The following is a 13,234-nucleotide window of genomic DNA, read 5'->3' on the forward strand; positions in this document are numbered from 1 at the left end:
GATTCCTCATCCTTCAGAAAGGGTCACCTCCTCAAGGAGGCCTTCCAGATTTACTACACCCTTGCATGGACCCACCAGTTTGTACGTGAACATTTATGAGTGTGAGTCCTTGTTTTTTTTTCCTGTCTTGACCACTGGATTATGAACAGAGAAGGTCAGGGAACAGAATTGTGTTCCCTGCTCTGCCCAGCACTTGGAACAGCGCTTGGAACAGAGCGGTCACTGCGCAAATAATAGCGGAATGGATAAATGAACGCAAGGAGGCACAGGAATCCCAGAGGCCGCTCCAACCGGGAGCCCGACCCCTCATCCCAGGCTCTAGGATCCGCGACAGCCGGCGAGGGGCGCCAGGGAGCCCAAGGCACGCGCCAACCCTCTGCGGCCGCGCCGCGCCCTGCGTTGCCAGACGCCCGTTGCCATGGCGCCAGGGAGGGGACAAGAGCCCAGGACCCTAGCGCGCGCCGCAATCTGTGCGGTCACGCCCGGCCCGCGTTGAGAGAGCGCTTGGCAGCCAGCGGGTGGACGCGCCCCTCAGCGGAGGGCACAAAGCCTGGCCGCAGGCACGCAGGACACTCAGAACGGAGCGATGGGGACGTCGCGGGCCGCAACACGGACTTTGCCTGGGTGTCAGCTCGGGTCCACAGCGCGGCCGAGGCGCACCTTGCGCCACACACTGCTCTTTTACTGGAGAAAGCGGGACGGCCGCCACGGACGGCGCAACCCCTGCGTGCGCCGCGGATCGACGCCTGAGGGCGCCAGCAGGGTCCGACCCTCCTGCTCCGTCCCCGCCCCTGTCCTCGGGCCCGGCCAGCGCCGCGGCCTCTGGCTCCGCCTCCACACGGGCCCGCAAGCAGGCACCGCCCCCGACTCTGCCCCCAGCCCCGGCTCGGGCCCGGCCCCCGCGAGCACGGCGCGCGCCTCCGGCTCCTGTGGCCGCGCGCTGGCCTGGAGGCTGACCTGGAGGCTCATCTGGAGGCCGAGCTGACCCGGCAGGCCTTGCGCGGGCAACATGGCGGCGCCCGGCGAGCGGGGCCGCTTCCACGGCGGGAACCTCTTCTTCCTGCCGGGGGGCGCGCGCTCCGAGATGATGGACGACCTGGCGACCGACGCGCGGGGCCGGGGCGCGGGGCGGAGAGACGCGGCCGCCTCGGCCTCGACGCCAGCCCAGGCGCCGACCTCCGATTCTCCTGTCGCCGAGGACGCCTCCCGGAGGCGGCCGTGCCGGGCCTGCGTCGACTTCAAGACGTGGATGCGGACGCAGCAGAAGGTGCAGTTCCCTGCCCGATTTCTCCCAGCCCCGCGCAGCCCCTGTCCCCGCCCCCGCCCAGGTACCCCGGCAGAGCTTCCCAGGGTTGCCTGTCCCTGAACCTTGCCCCCCGGGTAGGCCCGGCCTTACAGCCTTCATCCGCGCGTGGGTTGGATCGTCTGCAGGACTTTGGCCGGAGTCCAGTGGGCCACCGGCTGGGCCGTACAGTGGGGAGCTTTGGGCGCCTTTGTTCGGAGAATGAACTCACTCTCGGTCGGCCTGCTTCCGCAGCGGGACACCAAGTTTAGGGAGGACTGCCCGCCGGATCGCGAGGAACTGGGCCGCCACAGCTGGGCTGTCCTCCACACCCTGGCCGCCTACTACCCCGACCTGCCCACCCCAGAACAGCAGCAAGACATGGCCCAGTTCATACATTTATTTTCTAAGTTTTACCCCTGTGAGGAGTGTGCTGAAGACCTAAGAAAAAGGTAAGATGTGTTTGCACGCAGCAGAGCTTTGCACTGGAGCCTGGGCCTGGGGCTCCTGGCTGACGTTATAGCGGGGAACGTAGAGAAACGGATGCAGAGGTGGCAGAAGTTTGCTGAGGAGCAGGGACCTCCAACAGGTGAGGACTGGGGCTATCTGAGCCTCCTCCTCTCGTCTCAGAAGCCAAGCTGTCGGGATCTGCTGCTGGGTACTGCTCCTGCCACAGCCACAGGGCTTCCAGGAAGGGATTCCCTGCCTTGTCTGGCACTGAAGGCGGTTTCCCGCAAGTTAGGGAAGACTCCACTTTGCCTGACTTCTAGAGTAGGACTTCTGGTTTTAAAATCTTGGAAATCCACTGCTTTTGCTCCCAAGAGCCATCTCTTCCTCACTGAGGGATCCAAGAGCCAGCACTGGCCCTTGCAGGTGTTTCTAGGCCAGATGTATAGGGTAGAGCCGCCATTGTTGCTATAAGGCTGGTCAGTTAGAATGAAGTCTCTTGCTGAACTGACGCACCAGGGCCTGCCCTCAGATGCTAAGAAACAAGTCCAGTTTTCAGTTACAAGGCTGTGCCCAGCCCCACCCAGGCCACACTCTGCCTGAGGCCAGGGACACTGGATGCCGCTTCCTGGGTGTTAGGAGCTTATAAAATTGCCAGGTCTGTGCTGTAATGTGTTGCCTTGAGGCCTCGTTGGAGTTTGCCAAGCTGTCCAGGTGGGTGTTTGCGCAGCCCTGGGAGTTCATCACACCCGGGGAGCTGCAGGGTCAGCCCTGTTCTGGGAGTGCCTGTACCTTGGAGCATAAGGGCACTCCCAGGTGTAGTTCACAGCAGTGCCCCAGCTCTCCTTCCTTGACAGCAGACAGGGAACTGGCAGGGGCAGTGGAGCCGCTGCGTCCTCTCATTCTTTACCTGCTCTCCCTACACAGGCTGTGCAGGAACCACCCAGACACCCGCACCCGGGCATGCTTCACACAGTGGCTGTGCCACCTGCACAATGAAGTGAACCGCAAGCTGGGCAAGCCTGACTTCGACTGCTCAAAAGTGGATGAGCGCTGGCGCGACGGCTGGAAGGATGGCTCCTGTGACTAGAGGGTGGTCAGCCAGAGCTCATGGGACAGCTAGCCAGGCATGGTTGGATAGGGGCAGGGCACTCATTAAAGTGCATCACAGCCAGAGCCTGTTGTGTCTCAGTTGGGTGGTCCCCAGGACACTGCCTGTGGGGACCTGCCCTGCCCCTCTTAGGTTTGGAGCAGAAGTGGAGGTGCCCACAGCAGGTACCCACTGGCCCCCTCCTCAGTGGAGACCCCAAGGAGCTGCAGCTGAACTGCAGGGGAGGGAAGGAGGAGCAGCCTGGGCTGCCCCTTGACATTCAGGATGTAGCTTCCTGCCCACCGCATACCCTGGCGCCTCACTCCTCACACGGGAAGACAGCGGGCCTGGCTGGGCATCCCTGTGCCTGTCCCTGGCGGCCAGGCCATTGCCTTCCCACTATGCAGCCAGGGATGCCCCTGCCCCCCATGGCTCTGTGCTGCTCACTTTAGGGGGCTCAATTCTCCACTCTGCTCAGTCCCTACAGGGAAAGCTCAGGTCGGGTCTTTCTGAGGGTCCACCAGCCATCCTACCCTCTCCCTGCCTGGCACATGCCTGCCAGCGTTGTGTCATGCCTGTCCACAGGGGATTCGTGGGGCTCACTTCATCAGAGTTTGAAGCCCAAATGAAACGCTGAAGTGACTGAGAACCTGGCTTCAGTATATTTTCTGCTGGGGCTTAATAAAGCAGTAGACAGGGCTTGTTCCATCCCTCTGTGCTCAGCTGCATTTCCTGCTGGGGTCCTGGTTCCTCAGGAGAGAGAGACCACAGGGTGAGAGTGAGCCAGGAACAGCAAGGACGTTGATTGGTTGGGGCAGGGGGGCCAGAGTAGCTGATGTAGGAGTACTGGGAGGCCAGACGGCACGAGGTCTCCAAGGCCCCAGCAAAGCCATGGCTTCTACCCCTAGTTCCCCTGACAGGAAGTTCTTGGCGGGTTTGGAGCCAGGGGATGGCATGGAGTGATGTGGCTTTGAAGGGTCCTCTGGCTGCTGAGCTGGGATGAGGCAGGTAAGGGTGGAACAGGAGGGGTGGGGAGGAAGCCGGGGCAGTCACCGAGTGACCACCAAGAGGAAGACCCACCCCACGGCGGGGACAGATGCGGGGTACGTTAAAGGGAGAGCCAGAGAACTCATGGGGTGAGGATGGAGTCCGAGGAGACTGCTGGGAGCCGCCGTGTGGGTCAGAGATGGAGAAGGCTGAGTGCAGCAAGGTGGGGGGTGACTGGGACCCAGCCTTTGGGCCTCCCCAGCCAGAGCAGCCCAGCAACAGTGTGTCCTGTGGTCATAAAACTCCAGGGACCTCTATCCTCCAGGAGTCTCAGCCTTTCCCTGGGCGCAGGCCCACCTTGGCATGGCCGCCTCAGGCCTCCATGGAGGGAGCTGCTATGTCCCCACCAGATTGGCCCCGTGCGGCTGCTGGCTTCTGTAGAGGCTGCCCAGAGGGGCCAGGTGGCACAAATAAGAGAGGGGAGATGGGGGGCAGCCAGGAGAGGAGGTGTCCCTTCCTCGCCCAGACACAGCGCGCTTCTCTCTGGCCTTTCCCGAGGCCTGTGAGTGCCTCAGGAAGCAGCTGGGCCCTCTGGGAAGGCTGTGTTCAGCTTAGGAACATACCGCCTGTATCTGCTGTCCCTCCCCTGCCCCCCTGCCCCCCCCACCGCCTTCCCTTTTTCCCTGTCTTCCTTAAAGTTTCACTCCTGAATAAAACTTCACTTTGCCTTAGAATCTGTTTTTCTTTTTGTTGTTGTTTTGTTTTTCTGAGACAGAGTCTAGCTCTGTCGCCCAGGCTGGAGTGCAGTGGAGCAGTCTCGGCTCACTGCAACCTCCATCTCCCGGGTTCAAGCAATTTCTCCTGCCTCAGCCTCCCGAGCAGCTGGGATCACAGGCGCCCACCACCACCCCCTGCTAATTTTTGTATTTTTAGTAGAGACAGGGTTTCACTGTGTTGGCCAGGCTGGTCTTGAACTCCTGACCTCATGAACCACCCACCTCAGCTTCCCAAGGTGCTGAGATTACAAGCGTGAGCCACTGCGCCAGGCCAGAGTCTGTTTTTGAAGGCATCCAGGCCAGTGGAACTCTAGTGCAAGGAAAAGTTCTGGCTTGAGCTGGTGTTCCAGAGCTGTTGACACGCAGACCAAAGGAGTTAGCACAGAGGGAGAGACCTCCCCAGGATCGCGCCCTGGGCTCCTAAGGCTCACAGGTCACAGAGGAAGGACCCATGAGGGAGGAGGACCTCCAGGAGGGGCATAGTGGCTCACGCCTGTAATCCCAGCACTTTGGGAAACCAAGGTGGGCAGATCACTTGAAGTCAGGAGTTCGAGACCAGCCTGGTCAACATGGCGAAACCCCGTCTCTACTAAAAATACAAAAAAAAAAAAAAAAAAAATTAGCTGGGTGCGGTGGCACACCTGGAATCCCAGCTACTCCAGTGGCTGAGGTAGGAGAATCACTTGAGCCCCTGAGGCAAAGCTTGCAGTGAGCCAAGATTGCGCCACTGCACTCCAGCCTGGGTAACAGAGTGCGACTGTAACTCAAAAAATAAATAAATAACTAAAGAAATAAATGAGTCGACAGCAGCATCAGACTTGCCCTTGGGATTGGCACGGAGAGGTCAGTGGCAACCTTGAGTTTAGGTGGCGGTGGGAGCTGATTCTGCCGGGTCAGAGGGAGAGAGAGGAGGGTGTTGCAGGCAGAGTTTGCTGCTAAAGGAAGCAGTAACGTAAGGCAGCTGGAGGGGAGGTGGGGTCAACAGTGTTTGGCTTTTAGGAGAAAGTGCAGCATGTCTGGGTGCTGATGTTAGTGATGAAGTAGAGAATGAATGACACAGAGGGGAGGTCTGTGGCCAACAGGTGAGAGGGGTTGTGATCGGACGCACAGTGTGATGGACTTGGAACACAGTGAGTAGCGCCTCTGGCAACACCTGCTCTGCCCACCTGTGCCCAGCAAGGCTGAAGAATGAGCTCCAGGGGGGCTGGGCCACGCAGCACCATCTGTGCACCCGGCTCGTGTAGCAGGGACCTGGGTTGCTTATTATCTGAAGTACAGGGTGGTAACAGTCTCCGCCACTACACAGGTCAAGCGCTTGGCGCTGTAAATGTCAGTGCAGACATCTCAGTGCTCTAGACAGAAACCTAGGAGTCATCTGAACTTCCAGCCTGCTAGGAACATGAGGAGAGGGACCTTGTTGCACCCAAGGCTGGGGTCTGTGGAGGGGACTCAGCGGGACACAGGGCAGCCAGGCACCACCCCCACCCGACTCCTAGTCTCTGATGCCGCTCCCTGCCCTCCATTCCAGACTAGGCGCCGCAAGTACGCTGGGGAGACCCAGGAGTAGGGAGGGCATTGGGAGCACCACCACCTGGCCACGGGCAAGGAGCGGAGACACCGAAACCAACACTCCCAGCGGCGCTGGCCACGGTGGCTCTGTCCCCTCCCTCAACAGGTGCTCCTGGGGCCAACGCCTTTCTTCCCACCAGATCCTCCCCGCCAGAGGCTAGAAGCTGTGATAGCAGCTAGAGCACAGTGGGGGGCCATGAGAAAGACCCCAGTTATCCATCTGGTCTTCTTGGGACCAGGGCCAGGGAGCCGGTCCCCTCTCCCGTGGGTTGGGGGAAGATGCTGCAGCCCGTGGACCTCCTACCCCTTTACTCCCTCACCCAAGTGCCCTTCCCAGAGGAGCGGACTCCTCCTGTCTGTCCTCCCGGCTCTAGCAAAGTCTGCGCCCAGCACCCGAGCCCCACCCTGCCCCCGGGGACCTGGCTGGTGGGTTCCTGAGGATGGTCTCCATCTCGGGACCGGGGCAGGCAGGTGAGGGTGGGGGATGGGAGGTGGGCGCGGCGGAGGGAGAGGAGGGACCCGGCCCCGCGCGCATGGACCCAGTGGGGGGCGCGGGCGCGGCCCCGCCCCGTCCCGCGCGTCCCCGCCGCGGCCGGCGCGCGCTCCCGGGAGGCGGCAGCGGCTGCAGCGTTGGTAGCATCAGCATCAGCATCAGCGGCAGCGGCAGCGGCCTCGGGCGGGGCCGGCCGGACGGACAGGCGGACAGAAGGCGCCAGGGGCGCGCGTCCCGCCCGGGCCGGCCATGGAGGGCGCCTCCTTCGGCGCGGGCCGCGCAGGGGCCGCCCTGGACCCCGTGAGCTTTGCGCGGCGGCCCCAGACCCTGCTCCGGGTCGCGTCCTGGGTGAGTGGTCCCTGCCCGGGCCCCCGCTCCCGCCCCTGCCTCGCGACCTTCAGGCCCCTACCAGCCCCCTGCCCCCTACCCCCTGCCCCCTGCTTCTCGCCCCCCGACCTCACTCACTCTCATCCTCGCCGGCCCCTCCCCCGCCGGCCTCAGGTTGGGGTGACGTCACCGGGCAGGGCGCGCCCACCTGCGGGCGGAGGAGGGGCCGGCGGCGCCGGAGAGGGACCTTGAGAGGTCACCGCCGGTCGCCTCTACCCCTACCTCCTCCCCGGGTCTAATTTCAGTCCCTTTCCGCAGCCCTTACTCCGTTTTTCCTGTTCTCGTGACCTGGAAGCAGGGACGGGGTGGGGACGGAATTCTCCGAGGGGCAGGAGGGGGCTACGGGAACCGAGAAGCGCCTCCCCTTCCCCCGCACACACACCCTCGGGTCTCCTTGGCAGGGAGCCTGTCCCCTGGCCCCCAGTTCCAGCTGTGAGTTGAGGGAGGAGAGGCTCTGGGCTGGGAGGGCTTCCTGGCGGCGGTGTGGAAGGCAGGTTTGGGAGCAGCCTAGCCCACTGGGGCGTCCCTGGGAGGGCCCTGCTGCTCCTTCCCTCCGGCAGGGGAGGTGGCAGTTGGGTGCCGAGCTCTGGGTTTTGTCCAGGTGGCAACCTCTGGGCCAGCCGCACCTCGGCGCCTGTCTTGGAGGAGGGCGGTGCCCACGGTGGGGCAGGGGCTTTGGCCTCCCCTGCGGAGTGGCTCTGACCAGACCGGGAGGCAGGACGCTGCGTTTTGGTCCGAGCGCACGTCCCGACTTGTGGCCCACTCTTGGGGACAAGTGCATGTCCCGGCTTCCCCCTTGGCTCCACTCTCGGAGCTGGAGCGGGAAAGGAGCGAAGGGATGAGGTTGAGGCTGGAGGTCGTTTCTTGGAAACACAGGGCTGCCCCGTGCAGCGCTGGTTAAAATGACTGCGGTCCCCCTCATGCCTGTCTCCCGGAACTGGTGGGCAGGAGGCATTGAGGTTTGACGGAACCTCAGAGGTCAACGGTGTCATCTTTTCAGCCCAAACACTTACAGGTGATATTAATAATCAGTCACGTGGGGGCTGTCATCCCTCGGGTACCCACCACGTGCAGGAAGCTGGGTGGACATGTCTGTCCCAGCACTGCATGAGCTGTGCCCGTCACCCTATTTGCATGCTAGAAAACAGGCCAGACAGTTCCCAACCGCGCAGGAAGCAACAGCTCCGCTGCCTCCATACCCTCCCTCCCGCCCCGCTCTGCCTGCTGCACTCTCACCTCCCCTTCGCCGTTCCGGCTCCAGCCTGGGAATCGCGGGCCCAGGTGAAGGCTCCTGTTCCCACACTCTTGAGTGGGCTCTGAGGGGACTCCACGGGCCCACGCGGTGCAGAGTACCTGGCTTGAATCAACCCCGGCTTTTGTCAGCCATGTGATCCCGGACAAGTCACTTCACCTGTTGGGGTCCCAATGTCCCCCGCATTTATAAAGAGAATAAGAACAATGGCGATCCCACGGGGACTTTCTGAGGATTTGGTGAGGGGACGCATGTAAAGTGGCTGTTTAACACAATGTCTGGGCATAGTAGATGCTCACTAAACGGCCCGTGTTGTCAATAATTACTAAATACGCGAGGGTTCGGGAAAGAAAGAGGTGACACCGCCCCCCACCCAGATACGGGCCTGGGAACGCAGGGACAGGCCCAGGGGCGTGGGCGCTCGAGGCGGGCTCGCAGAGGTCGGGTCGCCGCAGGGCCCTGAGCGCCGCGCCGCACGCAGGTGTTCTCCATCGCCGTCTTCGGGCCCATCGTCAACGAGGGCTACGTGAACACCGACAGCGGCCCCGAGCTGCGCTGCGTGTTCAACGGGAACGCGGGCGCCTGCCGCTTCGGCGTCGCGCTGGGCCTCGGAGCCTTCCTCGCCTGCGCCGCCTTCCTGCTGCTCGATGTGCGCTTCCAGCAAATCAGCAGCGTCCGCGACCGCCGGCGCGCGGTGTTGCTGGACCTGGGCTTCTCAGGTGGGCGGGGCCGGGGCGGTGAGCGCGGAGAGCCTTCCGGGTGGGCGGGGAGGGGGCGGGGCCTGGGCGGGGAACACCGCTGGAGTTTCCAGCTGGGCGTGGCCGTGACGAGGGGCGGGGACTGAGGCAGGGAGTGTCAATGGGCCTCCCGGGTGGGCGGGGAGGGGGCGGAGCCTGGACGGGGAGCGCCGCGGGACTTTCTAGGTAGGCGGGGCCCGGGTCTGGGCGGAGCCTGGGCGCGGAACGGGTCTGGCGCTCCCGGGTGGGCGGGGTCAGCGCAGGAGAGGGAGGCGGGACCTCGCGCCACGCGGCGAGCCCAGGCGAGGCGCCCCAAGCCTCGGGCCCACCGACCTTTCCTCCTCCGGGCGAGGCCGCCGTGGGCCACCGCGTGGAGCGTCGCCCTGACGCGCCGCACTGTTCGCAGGACTCTGGTCCTTCCTGTGGTTCGTGGGCTTCTGCTTCCTCACCAATCAGTGGCAGCGCACGGCGCCAGGGCCGGCCACGACGCAGGCGGGGGACGCGGCGCGGGCCGCCATCGCCTTCAGCTTCTTCTCCATCCTCAGCTGGGTGAGTGCGGGGCCCGGGAGGGCGGGGCGAAGGGGCGGGCGCTCGGCTGATCCCGGCTGACCCCGCTGACCCCGCCCCGCGCAGGTGGCGCTCACCGTGAAGGCCCTGCAGCGGTTCCGCCTGGGCACCGACATGTCACTCTTCGCCACCGAACAGCTGAGCACCGGGGCGAGCCAGGCCTACCCCGGCTATCCGGTGGGCAGCGGCGTGGAGGGCACCGAGACCTACCAGAGCCCGCCCTTCACCGAGACCCTGGACACCAGCCCCAAAGGGTACCAGGTGCCCGCCTACTAGCGGCTGGCAGGCACAGACCAGGGCTCCAAGGCCACCCCACCAACGCAGGCCCCAGGGTCTCCGGGACCTCCCTTGGGTCCTTCCAGCTCAGTGCCGCGGACAGAGTAGGTGGCCGCTTTGCGCCATCCGGGGCCAAGAGGGGGTGGACCCGCGTGTCTGGGCTGCCCCTGCCAAGTTCCCCCAGTCCCTCAGCACCTGGCCCCAGGACTGAGGTCCTGAGAAGGGGATAGCACTGCCCAGGACGTGTGTCCCTAGCCTGGAATGGACTGGCCTGGGGAAGGCTTTCCCCTCTTGGGCCACACCTGCTCACTCTGGGGTTGGGGGTCCAGCTGCCCTCTACGATCAGGTGCAGGGGCTGCCCAGGACAAAGCGGGGGCAGGGGAAAGACACCACCCTCGCCCCAAGACTGGGGATCCTGGCCACTGTTCCCATCCCATGTCCCTGTGGGTAGTGACTGTCTCGTTTCTGTCATGGTGGTGCGTCCCGTCCGGAGCCACTCTCCACTTTCTCTCACAGGCTGCTAGAACAGCCCAGCCCTGTCAGTGTTGTGATCATGGTCCAGTCTTCGGGTTTCACCTCCTAGTACTCCACAAGCTGCTCCTCTCTCTGTGGCCCCGGCCCCTGCCCAGGTGTGGGTGGTTCTGGCCAGGAAGGCACAAGGTAGCTGTGGGCCAAGACACCAGCCCTGTCCTAGCCCTTCAGTAAGACCTTGCCAGGAGAGGAGAAGGATGCCTGGGTGCCAGGCAAGACAAGCCCCTCAGCAGGAGAGAGGCCCAGAGGCTCCAGCTGGCCACCGTGCCCCACAAGATGGCCCCTGTGTGGTTCCCTTTACCTTGGCTTCCTGGCCCAGTCCCTGCCTCTCCACCTGCACCCTGCTTCCTGGCCCAGTCCCAGGTTGGAGTCCCTCTGCATAGCTGACTACTCATGCATTGCTCAAAGCTGGCTTTTCACATTAAGTCAACACCAAACGTGGTTGCCACATTTCATCAGACAGACACCTCCCTCTGGAGATGCAGTTGAGTGACAACCTTGTTACATTGTAGCCTAGACCAATTCTGTGTGGATATTTAAGTGAACATGTTTACAATTTTTGTATATATCACTCTCTCCCTCTCCTGAAAGACCAGAGATTGTGTATTTTCAGTGTCCCATGTTCCGACTGCACCTTCTTTACAATAAAGACTGTAACTGAGCTGACTGTGACCTGGACGCTCCTGGAATCATTTCTACCCCTTCCCTTCTGGTGCCAGGGATTGGTATCTGAGAGGCACCAGGGCCCCACAGGAGGGGACGGGGAGGTAGAGGCCAGGCTGACCCCCAGGCTCTGGGGGCTCCAGGTCCATAGGTCCCCACCACCACGTATCCCACTAGTCTGGTTCTCTGAAATGCTGCGAGACCCCTTGTTTTTTTTGTTTGTTTGTTTTTGTTTTTGTTTTTGAGATGGAGGTTCACTCTGTCGCCCAAGCTGGAGTGCAGTCGTGCAATCTCGGCTCACTGCAACCTCTGCCTCCCGGGTTCAAGCAATTCTCCTGCCTCAGCCTCCAGAGTAGCTGGGATTACAGGTGCCCGCCACCACGCCTGGCTAATTTTTGTATTTTTAGTAGAGACAGGGTTTTGCCATGGTGGCCAGGCTGGTCTCAAACTCCTCACCTCAAGTGATCCACCCACCTTGGTGTCTCTCAAAGTGCTGGGATTATAGGCATGAGCCACAGCGCCCGGCCTGTTTTTTTTTTGTTTTTTTTTTTAAGACGGAGTTTCACTCTTATTGCCCAGGCTGGAGTGCAATGGCGTGATCCCGGCTAACCGCAACCTCTGCCTCCCAGGTTCAAGTGATTCTCCTGCCTCAGCCTCCCAAGTAGCTGGGATTACAGGCATGCACCACCATGCCCGGATAATTTTGTATTTTTAGTAGAGATGAGGTTTCTCCATGTTGGTCAGGCTGGTCTCAAACTCCCGACCTCAGGTGATCCACCCACCTCGGCCTCCCAAAGCGCTGGGATTACAGGCGTGAGCCACCACAACGGGCCTAGAGTGAACCTGTTTTTTTTTTTGTTTGTTTTTTTGAGGGATAAATAAATAAATAAATAAATAAATGCCTAGGCTAGAGTGCAGTGGCAAAATCTTGGCTTACTTTAACCTCTGGCTGGCTGCAACATCCACCTCCTGGGCTCATGTGATCCTCCCTGCTCAGCCTCCTGAGTAGCTGGGACCACAGGCATGTGCCACCATGCCCAGCTAATTTTAAAGTTTTTTGTAGAGATGGAGTCTCCTTATATTGCTTGGGCTGGTCTTGAACTCCTGAGCTCAAGTGATCCTCCCACCTTGGTCTCCTAAAATGCTGGGATTTCAGGCATAAGCCACCGCGTCCGACCCTGATGATTTCACTCTTATGTTCTAGCATTCTATAACGCTGATGAGAGTGATGCTAATGGTACCATTTGCATTGTTTGTAAGTGATCTTGTTGGTAATGATTTGTAGGGTTCTTTTCTGTAAATCCTTGTCTAGATAAGAATTTCTTATCGTTGATCCTGTTTGGTCCTTGATGGTTTGTTTTCTCTCTTGGTGTTGGGGTGAGCAGTCACGGTTTTTCGCATGTCCTCTTCTCGCCACCTTCTATTCCTGGGACTCCTGTAAGATTTGCCGTGAAGCCTCCAGTACCAGGTCCCTATTCCATGGCCTTCCATGGCCACACCCTTCCCCACTTCTCACTGCTACCTTTTGCAGTTACATCCCCCAGCTTGGGTTTACTTTTGAACCCATCTATTGGGGTTTTTATCTCAATTACTTTTTCATTCCTAGGATTTTTGAGACAGAGTCTCACTCTGTCACCCAGACTGGAGTGCAGTGGTGAGATCTCAGCTCACTGCAACCTCCACCTGCCAGGCTCAAGTAATTCTTGTGTCTCAGCCTCCCAAGTAGCTGGGATTACAGGCATGCACCACTACACCTGGCTCATTTTTTGTATTTTTAGTAGAGATGGGGTTTCACCATGTTGGCCAGGCTGGTCTCGAACTCTTGACCTCAGGTTATCCACCTGCCTCAGCCTCCCAAAGTGCTAGGATTACAGGCATGAGCGACTGCACCCAACCTCATTCCTAGGATTTCTAACTGTTTTTTTTTTCATAACTTCCTGGTTGAATGAAGCACAGCTAAGAACCATCTCTGGAGCCAAAATGCTGGCTTTGCCCCTTTCTAGCTCAGTCATCCTGGGTAAGTCTCTCAACCTGTCTGTGCCTCAGGTTCTCCTTCTGTAAAAGGGCCATCGTGGTTCCTGTGGCGTGGGAGGGTGACAATTACTGTGGTGAGGGGTGTGGAGCTTGCAGCAGTGCTTGTCACAGCAACTGCCACTCAAGTGTTGCCCCATATTCCT

General features: G+C 60.8%; 2 protein-coding genes across 2 annotated transcripts, besides 9 other annotated features; both read left to right on the top strand.

Moving 5' to 3' along the window:
* Positions 736–1,275: a silencer, noted in NCBI's record as "silent region_7014". NCBI's record gives its function as "represses an Ori minimal core promoter by ATAC-STARR-seq in GM12878 lymphoblastoid cells {active_cell/tissue: GM12878}" and the evidence as "EXISTENCE:reporter gene assay evidence [ECO:0000049][PMID:35858748]".
* GFER (growth factor, augmenter of liver regeneration) lies at positions 984–4,540 on the top strand. The gene is made up of 3 exons (NM_005262.3): positions 984–1,267; positions 1,538–1,734; positions 2,657–4,540. Exons 1-3 carry the CDS (start codon positions 1,010–1,012, stop codon positions 2,817–2,819), a joined length of 618 nt encoding a protein of 205 aa, NP_005253.3. The 5' UTR covers positions 984–1,009; the 3' UTR covers positions 2,820–4,540.
* Positions 5,719–6,298: an enhancer, noted in NCBI's record as "H3K4me1 hESC enhancer chr16:2038929-2039508 (GRCh37/hg19 assembly coordinates)". NCBI's record gives its function as "activates a minimal SCP1, AML or CMV promoter by ChIP-STARR-seq in primed H9 embryonic stem cells {active_cell/tissue: H9 hESC(primed)}" and the evidence as "EXISTENCE:reporter gene assay evidence [ECO:0000049][PMID:30033119]".
* SYNGR3 (synaptogyrin 3) lies at positions 6,761–11,066 on the top strand. Its single transcript, NM_004209.6, has 4 exons — positions 6,761–6,992; positions 8,765–9,002; positions 9,427–9,569; positions 9,654–11,066. The coding sequence occupies exons 1-4, from the start codon at positions 6,894–6,896 to the stop codon at positions 9,861–9,863; spliced, it is 690 nt and encodes a 229-aa protein (NP_004200.2). The 5' UTR covers positions 6,761–6,893; the 3' UTR covers positions 9,864–11,066.
* Positions 6,891–6,980: a silencer, noted in NCBI's record as "silent region_7015". NCBI's record gives its function as "represses an Ori minimal core promoter by ATAC-STARR-seq in GM12878 lymphoblastoid cells {active_cell/tissue: GM12878}" and the evidence as "EXISTENCE:reporter gene assay evidence [ECO:0000049][PMID:35858748]".
* Positions 7,061–7,180: a silencer, noted in NCBI's record as "silent region_7016". NCBI's record gives its function as "represses an Ori minimal core promoter by ATAC-STARR-seq in GM12878 lymphoblastoid cells {active_cell/tissue: GM12878}" and the evidence as "EXISTENCE:reporter gene assay evidence [ECO:0000049][PMID:35858748]".
* Positions 8,221–8,300: a silencer, noted in NCBI's record as "silent region_7017". NCBI's record gives its function as "represses an Ori minimal core promoter by ATAC-STARR-seq in GM12878 lymphoblastoid cells {active_cell/tissue: GM12878}" and the evidence as "EXISTENCE:reporter gene assay evidence [ECO:0000049][PMID:35858748]".
* Positions 8,617–9,194: an enhancer, noted in NCBI's record as "H3K27ac-H3K4me1 hESC enhancer chr16:2041827-2042404 (GRCh37/hg19 assembly coordinates)". NCBI's record gives its function as "activates a minimal SCP1, AML or CMV promoter by ChIP-STARR-seq in naive H9 embryonic stem cells {active_cell/tissue: H9 hESC(naive)}" and the evidence as "EXISTENCE:reporter gene assay evidence [ECO:0000049][PMID:30033119]".
* Positions 8,617–9,392: a biological region, named in NCBI's record as "H3K27ac-H3K4me1 hESC enhancer GRCh37_chr16:2041827-2042404".
* Positions 9,023–9,392: a silencer, noted in NCBI's record as "silent region_7018". NCBI's record gives its function as "represses an Ori minimal core promoter by ATAC-STARR-seq in GM12878 lymphoblastoid cells {active_cell/tissue: GM12878}" and the evidence as "EXISTENCE:reporter gene assay evidence [ECO:0000049][PMID:35858748]".
* Positions 9,775–10,352: an enhancer, noted in NCBI's record as "H3K27ac-H3K4me1 hESC enhancer chr16:2042985-2043562 (GRCh37/hg19 assembly coordinates)". NCBI's record gives its function as "activates a minimal SCP1, AML or CMV promoter by ChIP-STARR-seq in primed H9 embryonic stem cells {active_cell/tissue: H9 hESC(primed)}" and the evidence as "EXISTENCE:reporter gene assay evidence [ECO:0000049][PMID:30033119]".

The sequence above is a fragment of the Homo sapiens genome, chromosome 16, assembly GCF_000001405.40.
Source record: "Homo sapiens chromosome 16, GRCh38.p14 Primary Assembly".
Lineage (NCBI taxonomy): Eukaryota > Metazoa > Chordata > Mammalia > Primates > Hominidae > Homo > Homo sapiens.

Excerpts from the sequence above, each read along its gene's own strand:
- GFER (NM_005262.3), top strand. The coding sequence starts at position 1,010 with ATGGCGGCGCCCGGCGAGCGGGGCCGCTTCCACGGCGGGAACCTCTTC. Across the intron at positions 1,268-1,537 it reads GGATGCGGACGCAGCAGAAG|CGGGACACCAAGTTTAGGGA; the intron begins GTGCAGTTCCCT and ends CTGCTTCCGCAG. Across the intron at positions 1,735-2,656 it reads GCTGAAGACCTAAGAAAAAG|GCTGTGCAGGAACCACCCAG; the intron begins GTAAGATGTGTT and ends CTCCCTACACAG.
- SYNGR3 (NM_004209.6), top strand. The coding sequence starts at position 6,894 with ATGGAGGGCGCCTCCTTCGGCGCGGGCCGCGCAGGGGCCGCCCTGGAC. Across the intron at positions 6,993-8,764 it reads TGCTCCGGGTCGCGTCCTGG|GTGTTCTCCATCGCCGTCTT; the intron begins GTGAGTGGTCCC and ends CGCCGCACGCAG. Across the intron at positions 9,003-9,426 it reads GCTGGACCTGGGCTTCTCAG|GACTCTGGTCCTTCCTGTGG; the intron begins GTGGGCGGGGCC and ends CACTGTTCGCAG.